Source organism: Homo sapiens, chromosome 11 (genome assembly GCF_000001405.40).
Source record: "Homo sapiens chromosome 11, GRCh38.p14 Primary Assembly".
In the NCBI taxonomy this organism is placed as follows: domain Eukaryota; kingdom Metazoa; phylum Chordata; class Mammalia; order Primates; family Hominidae; genus Homo; species Homo sapiens.
In genome coordinates this window covers 86029606-86040764 of record NC_000011.10, presented here as the reverse complement: position 1 = coordinate 86040764, position 11159 = coordinate 86029606, and the positions used below count along the sequence as shown (strand labels likewise).

The following is an 11159-nucleotide window of genomic DNA, read 5'->3' as shown; positions in this document are numbered from 1 at the left end:
CTGTGTCTCACTTAAAGCATTTTGGAATATATACACACACTTAAACATATATACACCTATACTGTTTGTACCTGAATGTAAGGTAACCCCAAATATAAAGCAAGCCTGCATTTTCCCAGAGACATTGACAGCCCCTCAAGTTTTATTTATTTAACCTATTTAAATATGTAAATGTTAGGGATATAGATGAAGCAGTCAGCCTCATAATATTGAAACTCACTAGTTAGAATACATATGAAAGATTACTATAAAAAGTAATCTGGCTGAGTGCGGTGGCTCACATCTGTAGTAATCCCAGCACTTTGGGAGGCCGAGGAGAAGGATCCCTTGAGCCCAGGAGTTCCAGACTAGCCTGGGCAACAGAGGGGGAGACCTCGTCTCTATAAAAATAAATCAATAAAATTTTAAAAAGTTATTAGAAAGAGAAGTAATCTGTGATTTTAAAATAGTAGTTTCTTTTCGCCACTCATACATACCTCACCACATGACATTTGACTCATTTTACATTCATGTATATATTGGATATTTTGTGTTTTTTTGGTCATCCACAGCCCCTTTTTTAAAGTTATATAACATCTTTCCTTTTGTGTAAGATCTTTCTAATTTACATTAGAAATTTTTTCACAGACTATCACCATCCATTCTTATAACACTAAGACAGTTTGTTTCTTTCGTTCCTCATGTATATTTCTATATTTCTGATCTCTGCATCTGCAACATAACTTTATTTTGTTGCCTTTTTTTTTTTTTTTTTTTTTTTTGAGACGGCGTCATGCTCTGTCGCCCAGGCTGGAGTGCAATGGCGCGATCTCGGCTCACTGCAAGCTCCGCCACCCGGGTTCATGTCATTCTCCTGCTTCAGCCTCCTGAGTAGCTGGGACTACAGGCTCCCGCCACCATGCCCAGCTAATTTTTTTGTATTTTTAGTAGAGATGGGATTTCACCGTGTTAGCCAGGATGGTCTCGCTCTCCTGACCTCGTGATCTGCCCGCCTCGGCCTCCCAAAATGATTTTGTTGCTTTTTAAAGTTCTGAAGACACCCAACACAATTTTGCAATTATGTGGTATATATTCCCAGGAATACTTACCTCTGTTAAATTTTTTATTTCTTCATAAGCACCTGAAACTAGCATTGTTGGAGGTCTTTTCAGGTTACCTTCTTCAGGAAGAACTTTGTTAAAATAAACAGACCAGATAATGAGATGATTTGTGAAGACTTATGGCAGTTTTTCTATTGAATAGTTTTTAGAGAGGGAAAGTGCTGTCATTTTACCTGGCAATTTTACAAATGGTAGAATTATTTTTACATTTCTGGTGGGGGGAGGATTGCCTTTTAAAATTTATTTTAATTTATTTTTTTTTAGACACAGAGTGTCACTGTGTTTCCCAGGCTGGAGGGCAGTGGTTGTTCACAGGCATGATTATAGTACATTACAGCCTTGAACTCCTGGGATCAAGGGATCCTCCTGTCAGCCTTCCAAGTAGCTGACTACAGGTGCATGTCACCATGTTCCACTCTATTTTTACATTTTCTAATTTTTAAGTGTGGGAATCTTAGTCCATTCATGTTGCTAAGAACACAGTGACAGAAATAGCATATCTAGTTGTGCTAATATACTGATTTTTTTCCTACAGCTGCACTTTTTTTTTTTTTGAGATAGAGTCTCACTCTGTTGCCCAGACAAGAGTGCAGTGGCATGATCTTGGCTCACCACAACCTCTGCCTCCCAGATTCAAGTTATTCTCCTGCCTCAGCCTCCCAAGTAGTTGGGATTACAGTCGTGTTGTCACCACGTCCAGCTAATTTTTGTATTTTTAATAGAGCTGGGGTTTCACCATGTTGGCCAGGCTGGTCTCAAACTCCTGACCTTGAGTGATCCGTTCTCCTTGACCCCCAACGTACTGGGATTACAGGCATGAGCCACTGCACCTGGTCTTTTATTTTTAAACGTTAAGATAGGACTTTGACTTACCTTTTTTTTTTTTCTGAGATGGAGTCTCGCTCTGTCGCCCAGGCTGGAGTGCCGTGGTGTGATCTCAGCTCGCAACCTCCGCCTCCTGGGTTCAAGCAGTTCTCTGCCTCAGCCTCCCAAGTAGCTGGGATTACAGGCACCTGCCACCAAGCTCGGCTAATTTTTGTATTTTTAGTAGAGATGGGGTTTCAGCATCTTGGCCAGGCTGGTCTTGAACTCCTGACCTCATGATCCACCCGCCTCGGTCTCCCAAAGTGCTGGGATTCCAGGCGTGAGCCACCGTGCCCGGCCAGGACTTTGACTTACTTTGGGTGTGGGGTCTGGAGATTCCTTAAGGCTCATTTACCATTGTAAGAGATTGAACTTGTGTTCAAAATACTGACCTACTTCTGGCATAGTGGCTGCCAAATTCTCAGGTACTTTACCATGCAACTCTTATTCTTTTTTTGTTTTGTTTTGTTTAATTTTTTTCGGATGGAGTCTCGCTCTGTTGCCCAGGTTGGAGTGCTATGGCTGTGATCTCAGCTTCCTTTTACCTCCGCCTCCTGGGTTCAAGCGATTCTCCTGTGTCAGCCTCCCAAGTAGCTGGGATTACAAGCATGTGCCACCATGCCTGGCTAATTTTTGTGTTTTTAGTAGAGACAGGGTTTCACCATATTGGCCAGGCTGGTCTCGAACTCCTGACCTCAAGTGATCTACCTGCCTCAACTTTCCATAGTGTTGGGATTATAGGCGTAAGCCTCCATGCCTGGCCCAGCCACTCTTATTCTTGTACCACCTCTTCCTCACATCCTTGAGGAGATAAAGAATGTGTCATGGCTCTCCTTTCTGCTCTTGATCATGATAACGTTCTAAAGGGTGTGGAATAAATTACAGTACAGAACTGGTGTGTGCTATGTGACATGAGAGGTACTGAGATTAGTTTATGGAAGTAACAGTGTTATAGTTCCTTTATAAATTATTTTTCTCTAACTTCATATATGACATAGTTGCTAAGTCATTTTGGAAGTGTTCGATTGTGTATGCATCACCTTGTATTTGGGCAAATACAATATATACAAAAAAATATTACACATACATAACTTTTTTTTTTTAGACAGTGTCTTGCTGTGTTATCCAAGTTGGAGTGCAATGTCGTGATCACAGTTCACTGTAACCTTAAACTCTTGGGCTTAAACTATCTTCCCGCCTCAACCTCCACTACAAGCAGTAATTAAAAAAAAAAAAACTAGGGAGCTGGGTGCGGTGGCTCACGCCTGTAATCCCAGCACTTTGGGAGGCCGAGGCAGGTGGATCACAAGGTCAGGAGTTCAAGACCAGCCTGGCCAAGATGGTGAAACCCCATCTCTACTAAAAATACAAAAATTAGCCGGGCGTGGTAGCAGGTGCCTGTAATCCCAGCTACTTGGGAGGCTGAGGCAGGAGAATTGCATGAACCTGGGTGGCAAAGGTGGCAGTGAGCCGAGATCACACCACTGCACTCCAGCCTGGGCGATAGAGTGAGACTCCGTCTCAAAAAAAAAAAAAAAAAATTTTCTTTTTTTTTTGGCTGGGTGTGGTGGCTCATGCCTGTAATCCCCAGCCCTTTGGGAGGCCGAAGCGGGTAGATCACGAGATCAAGAGATTGAGACCATCCTGGCCAACATGGTGAAACCCTGTCTCTACTAAAAATACAAAAATTAGCTGGGCGTGGTGGCGGGCCCCTGTAGTCCCAGCTGCTTGGCAGGCTGAGGCAGGAGAATCGCTTGAACCTGGGAGGCGGAGGTTGCAGTGAGCCGAGATCACGCCATGCACTCCAGCCTGGCTACAGAGCAAGACTCCATCTCAAAAAAAATTTTTTTTTTTTGGTTGTTGTTGAGACAGGATCTCCCTGTGTTGCTTAGGCTGGTCTCAAACTCGTGACCTCAAGCAGTCATCCTACCTCGGCCTTCCAAAGCACTGGGATTACAGGCATGAACCACAATGCCTAGCCTCACACATACAGTTTTAAAAAATGGAATTGTACTGTGTATTTTTCTTTACTATAACTTTTGACTTAATATGTGGTGAACATTTTCTCCTGACAGCTTTTATTTTTTGTGCCATGCATTCGTTGGCCTCATAGTATTTCATAGTCAGACTGTAGTGTCATTTGATTAACTCTTCACTCTTGGATATGTCCACTTAAATTATGAATTAGGTCCCTTAGCTTCATTAGTATTGTTCTAAAAGCCATCTGATTATTTTTGTCAATCTTTGTCATTGTACTCAGCGTTCCATATTCTGTCTTTAAGAGTATTTCCCCAGTTATTAAAGTCCAATTATGTTGGTTAGATTTCTTAAGGTGTAAGTCAGCCTGTGAAGAGCATAGTTTTGAGTTAATTCTACTGGAAGTTATATAAAAATAAAACATTGTGTTTCTCACAGAAGACCCCATGAACTTTACAGATAAAATTTTAACAGTTACATCTTAATTTGGACCATATTTTATGATCCCTTTCACAAATCATTGGAGTAAGAAATAAGACTGTTCATTTCATTTCCTGGACATTGACACTTACGACTAGGCAAATTTGCCTGTGTTTAACTTTGATTAGCCTATGTCTAATTTCAACTTGCATAGTTTTGAAATACTTAAAACAATTTTGCTATATGAAAAAAATTTTGCTGATACTTCATATAAAAGTTCCTTATCCTCTGTTTACTATTTTTTGATGAATATGCTTTTTGTTTCTACTCCCACCAAGGAAAAATTACAAAGATTTGATAAGTGAAGCAAAATTTGATTAACCAGTTAATTTGCCTTGCCTTCCATATTAATTTTATCTCCAATTTTCTTTTTTTTTCTTTTTTTTTTTTTTTTTTGAGGCAGAGTCTCGCTCTGTAGGCCAGGCTGGAGTGCAGTGGCATGATCTCGGCTCACTGCAACCTCCGCCTCCCAGACTCAAGCAATTCTGCTGCCTCAGCCTCCTAAGTAGCTGGGATTACAGGCGTGTGCCACCATGCCCGGCTAATTTTTGTGTTTTTTTTTTAGTAGAGACAGAGTTTCACCATGTTGGCCAGGCTGGTCTCGAACTCCTGACCTCAGGTAGTCCGCCCGCCTCGGCCTCCGAAAGTGCTGGGATTACAGATGTGAGCCACCGTGCCCAGCCGTATCTCCAGTTTTCTAGATGACTGAATAAATCAATTTTAGGTTGTAAATTTATGAGGGCAGGTGTAAAAAAGAAGTTCTCGTTCAAAATGACCTTTTTGAAAGGGATTACTAAATTTTATATGTATTACTGTGTTTGGCTAAGTGATTGTGGTATGTTGATTTAAAAACAAACAAACAAATACTGGTTTAGGCCAGGCTTCTTTTTTAGAAAATCTTATTCGGGTATCAGTGTGGTTTTGATGTAGCCTAGTGAGTTGCTGTTTAGATGGGAACTTGAGAACTCTGCATTCTGATGGCACAGGCCACTGGCTGGGTTGCCTGACTTGCTGTAGAAGTGAACCCTGAGTGTCCTAATTTAAGTTTCTAAAGTTGATGAACTCTGCCTGGGGAAATCTATATAGGCTGAAGTTGGTGAACTCTGCCTGGTGGGAGAGTTTGTAAAGGCCTACACTAGGAATATGACTGTAAGATTAATGAAACCATTTGGTAACTGCTTAGTTCTAAATTTTTTGTACTTTGTTAAAAAAAAAAAAAGACTTCCTCAGAATACAAAAATACTGTTTTGCATTTCACTGTTTTTCTATTGTTTTTGTTTTTAATTAGTTTTCAGTCGAGAACGTGTATTAAATTGGCTAGTTGAGCATTTACTTGCTGTATGTTTTAGTGGATCCTTATCCTTTGCAAAAATTTAATTCTAGTCATTAATCTGTCACTTAGCTCCTGTGACCTTGCCTGTGTAAATACAGTTAACATCAGCTTTATCTACCTCAGTCATTGTTTGTTGAAAGAGCATATGAAATAATAAAAGAGCATTTGTGTTTGTATGGTGGGTATTGGTTCCTTCTGCTTTCTCTACATGGAAAAGTGATTGTCATTTCTATGGTAGGCTTATTTTTAGGCCTATTGTCTTCATCCCCTTAAATATTGGAAATCTTTGTAAATTCTCACTCATACCTAAAGCAGAGAACCTACGTGCCATGTGGTACTTGTTTTTTTTTTAGTGTGTGTGGGATTCAGAAATTGTTAATAATGAATATTCAAGAAGGTACTTCAGTTTTTATGTTATTGAGATAAATAATGAAAAGAAAATATAAGATCTGTCCTCATTTTGGTAACTTATTGGTTGGCAAGGGAAATCGTTACAGTTTTTGCTTTTTAAGAAATAGTATCTTCTGGATTGAGAGTGGGAAAAGCAGTTAACTATTGAGAGTCCCCGATAAGTGTTACTTTTGTTTGGAACAGTTTACTTTTGGTTAGTCACAGGTGGGAAGAATATTTTCCTTCCTGACTTGGAGCTCAAACTTGGAAGCATTTTCAGGGTACTATTAAATGAGAAACATTGTACAGATAAAAAATTACTGTATGGAGAAAATGACTGGCTGAGTTAAATACTATGGGAGGTATAGACTGCTAATTTTATTCAATATCCTCCCCACCCCACCTGTCATATTTGTATAACTTGGTTTTACATTTGGTCTATTCTGGATTCATAATCTCAGTGTGAATTCTTACTTAATTTTTCCTGTTTTATTATGTGTGAAGAATTTTTTTTAGCTTCTGGAGTTATCCTTCAAAATAACTCCAGTTTTTCTGTGATCAGTACTAAAAGCATACTATAGTTTTTAATAAGCATTATAGTAAAAACCTTTATTTGTTAGATCCCCTTTTAATTTGAAATTTGAAAATTTGCACATGTATTGGGCTCGGCTTTGTTTTTCAACCTCTTGGGAATAGCAGGTTGTACAGATAGTTGTAAGATGTTGATTTAACTTAATGTAAGGACACAATCTTGGATGCTTTTGAAAAAATGTCATGTTAAGAATACCCATATGCATACCAAAATGAATGTGTCTTAAAAAATATGACTGATCTTTATGTTTGAGGCATTATTCTAGGTCTTTGGGGATAGAGTTGAGAACAAAAAAGCCCTGCCCACATGGAACTTAAAAACATTTTAATTGAGAGAGAAAGACATTAAACAAATTAAGATGAGTTCAGTGGCAATAAATGCTTTGGAGAGAAATAAGCAGAGTAAGGGGGATAATGAGGGTTTAGAGGTAGGGGAATGCCCAAGGCTTTGTTATTTTGCGTAAATATTCAGGGAAGTTTATCTAATATGGTGACACTTTAGCAAATAGCTATGGGAAGGAAGCGAAGGGAGCAAGCAGCATAGGTATCTAGCAGAAGAGAATTCTAGGCAGGAGGAACAACAGTACCAAACACCTGAGATAAGAGTGCTTGGCATATGGGAGGCATTGCAAAGAAGATGGCAGTGATGCAGTGGGGGGAAGAACAGATCACAAAGGGAATATAGTATGGATATATGTACATATACATACACATATGTTTTATAACATACATAGTACAGTATATATATATACACACACACCATGCACCATGCACTATATAGTATTAAATTGTGTGTGTGTTTGTGTGTATAAAGTACTGTCGTTGAAACTGAAGTCTAGTGTAATATGTTCAGTGCCATAGGCCAGTTATAAAGTGCTATGAAGATCTAGAGAAGGCAGAGATTAAATTCCATTTTTTACTCTCAGAAGTTGAAGCATGCATATCCAAGTTGGATTTACTGTTTCATTTTTGTTGCAAATAGTCTGAATTGTGAAAGCTTTGTGTCATTCTGTTGTTCCATGGGCACTCTGTTTTGTTCTTTGTTCTTTAAGCAGTATTGGCCACCGTAGCTGCTTATCTAAAATGCATGTGTTTATCAGATATTAACTTATATAATAATTGGACCTATTAAAGGAAAAATTTTAAGTAAATGTTGGTAGTTACATTGTCATTTCTTGCTAGCAATCAAGGCCAAGTTAGATCATTTGAATTCATATTTAATCATTACACACTGAAGATTAAAAGTGAACAAATTAATGTCATGAATAACTTTTTTCCCTTTATTGTAGTATAGCTGAGACATTTATACATTACATTTTATATATATTTTAAAAGTAACTCATTTCTTGGTTTTCTCCTCTGTTATATCTCTAAATTGGATTATATTATATTACATTTTTTATTGAGGCAGAGTCTCACTCTGTTGCCCAGGCTGGAGTGCAGTGGTACTATCTCCGCTCACTGCAACCTCCGCCTCCCAGGTTCAAGCAATTGTCCTGCCTCAGCCTCCTGAGTAGCTGGGATTACCCATGCCCGCCACCAAGCCCAGCTAATGTTTTTGGTATTATTAGTAAAGATGGGGTTTCAGCATATTGGCCAGGCTGGTCTCGAACTCCTGATCTTGGGTGATCCACCCCACCTCAGGTTTCCAAAGTACTGGGATTACAGGGGTGAGCCACCGCACCCAACCTATTTTACATTTTCTTCATTGAGTTTACGAATAATATCTCTTAAACAGATTGTAGGTTACTCTTCTTAAGTTTTATTGAGAATCTTTTTTTCCAGTTTTGTTCTCAGTATTACCTAGTTATCAACTGATCTGAGCTAATTCAGTAGAACAGAGGGGAGAGAAGGAGTATAAATCTTTTGTATGAACAAACAGATCCAACTCAATTACAGACCAGATCTCTGCCCTGTTATCTTCCTGTTGCAAAGACAGCATTCTAGGGTGGATGTTCATAAAGATAGTTTGATCTTCATTTTGTTCATTCTTCTGTATGGATGATTTCTTTAAATAAGCTTTATTTAAAGAAAAATGTTAAAGTTAATTTTAAAGAGATGAATAATACCAGTATTTTAATGGAAGGTTTTTAAGTAGTAAGGAAATAGAAGGTTCCTCAAAACCTTGAAACAATTCATTTTGAGATGACCAAAGTACTTGAGAGAGAATTATACCCTGAGGGAGTTTGATTTATTTTTTGGTATTGTTGATCATTTATGTGATTCTAATTGGTACCCTGCTTCTTAGGTAGATTATGGTAGTCTCAATTGCTCTAATTGAGAGATTTTTAACAACATCTCCAAACTATTACTGCTCCACTTTGTGTTAAATCTTTTGCCTGTTTGTATGCAGATCTGGTATTAACAATAAATTAAAACCACAGAGGAAATTAATCATTTAAAAATTTTTTATTGCAGACTTAATTCAGTGCACAAATGAGATGAATGTGAACATCCCACAGTTGGCAGACAGTTTATTTGAAAGAACTACTAATAGTAGTTGGGTGGTGGTCTTCAAATCTCTCATTACAACTCATCATTTGATGGTGTATGGAAATGAGGTAAGCAGAATTTTTATTGAACAAGTATACTGATGTGTTGACTTATTGTTAGCTAGCTTCTCTCACTGAAACTTCAGAAACAGCTCCCAGGTACAAAGGTCAAGGTGCCTAGCCAGAAATATAATTATAGACCCTGTAATTTGAGGAAAGATAGCTTGTAAGCCAGAAAGCAAAAAGTGGGTTAGAGCACAGAGGACATCAATAATGGATCAAGAAGCAAAGATTAATGCCTAGAAATGGGTTCCATAAGCATCCCTGGTTTTTGCTGGTCCTGTTTATAGACTATATATTTTGTCTATATCCATTTGTTCTTTTATTATAGTCCAGTTAGATTTTTTGTTTGTTTGTTTTGAGACAGGGTCTTGCTTTGTTGCCCAGGCTGAGGTGCAGTGGTACCATCATAGCTCACTGCTACCTCAAATTCCTGGGCTCAAGGGACCTTCCCACCTCAGCCTCCCATGTAGCTGGGATTACAAGTGTGTGCTACCATGCCTGGCTTATTTTTAAATTTTTTTGTAGAGATGGGGGTCTTTCCATCTTGGCTTAGGCTGGTCTTGAACTTCTGGGCTCAAGTGATCTTCCCACCTTAGCCTCCCAAAGTGCTGGGATTACAGGCGTAAGCCATCACACCCAGCTTTAGATTCTTGTCTGATCTCATATAGTTGTTTATGGAAGCACTTTGCCTACTTCAAAGCTGTGATATTTAGGACTAAGATGGCATTTGCTGAGAGGGACTGATTGAAGTGTGCCTTCTTCAGCAGAGAGGTGTGTCTGAAGCCTTTGTTGCCTAAAAGGGTAACAAATAAGATATATACGCTTTTGAAAATCTGTTTTGAGAGAATCATCTTACTTTCCGTGATAGCCTAGCAGCTAATTTTTTGGTTCATTTTCTCAGCTCAATAAACTTATTTGTAAAATTGTATTAACAGGAGCTTTTCAAGAACATCTGAGTAGAACTAGATAAATCTTCTTCGGTATGTGCCTTAGAAAAATGCAGCCCGGGAAGATAACCTTCTAGAGATGAGAAAGAACTTTAGTCATTGGTATTAGTTTTCTGAGCGTAATGACTTGTTGACATCCATCACGTTGTGTGTTATTTTGGGCTTTTCAGTATTGAAACTATTTTTTGACAACTACCAATATAGCATTATTAAAGTTCAAAATTAAAGCAAGAATTTACCCACAACTTTATTGTTCCAGCACATCTTACTTTTGGCACATTTTGGTCTTCCCTCTAGTTCTTGTCCAAAAGTATTTGTATTTTTTAAATGGCTATAATCATAATGTAGATAAAATATACTTAGCTTTTTATATAATATTACACTATCAGCATTGCCATGTTGTATTTTTTTATCATCTTTAGTAACTATGTAATTGATCGTATAGTTCACAATTTTTAAACTATTTTCCTTGCTAGAAATTGAGTTTTCTGATTCATCGTTATACCACCACATTGAGTGATTTTATTTGTAGTTTTTAATTTTTAAAAATGATTTCCCCTAAGTGTTACCTGAAATGTGATTACTAAGTCAACAGACATGACCATTTTTAGGACTTATGTTAGTTGCTTTCTAATTCATTATAACCAGTTGATAGAGCTAATAGAAATGTTTGGCTGTATTAGCTTAAATGTAACTTGAAACATCTTAACTAGGATAATAGTTTTTACTTTTAGCAAGAATATGTTTAGTTAAGATTATGATTATTCTGAAGAATTCCAAGCGTGTATGTACTTTTCTTCTTCTTCTTTATTTATTTGATGTAGTTTATTTTTTAAAAAGAAAAAGCCACAAATATAACCAGCTACACTGCCAGATAAACAAAGTATCAATAATGGCTTTCAGAGGCTGTAAATAAGGTAAT

General features: G+C 38.0%; 1 protein-coding gene across 31 annotated transcripts in view; it reads left to right on the top strand.

Annotated features, from left to right (window-relative positions):
- Positions 1–11159, top strand: part of PICALM (phosphatidylinositol binding clathrin assembly protein) — a 112686-nt gene that overhangs the window by 29096 nt on the left and 72431 nt on the right. For all 31 annotated transcript variants that reach the window (XM_047427666.1, NM_001206947.2, XM_047427660.1 and 28 more), the window contains exon 2: positions 9154–9296. In XM_047427666.1, coding sequence (XP_047283622.1) covers positions 9177–9296 — 120 coding nt within the window. In that variant the 5' untranslated portion in view covers positions 9154–9176. The remainder of the gene's footprint in view (positions 1–9153; positions 9297–11159) is intronic.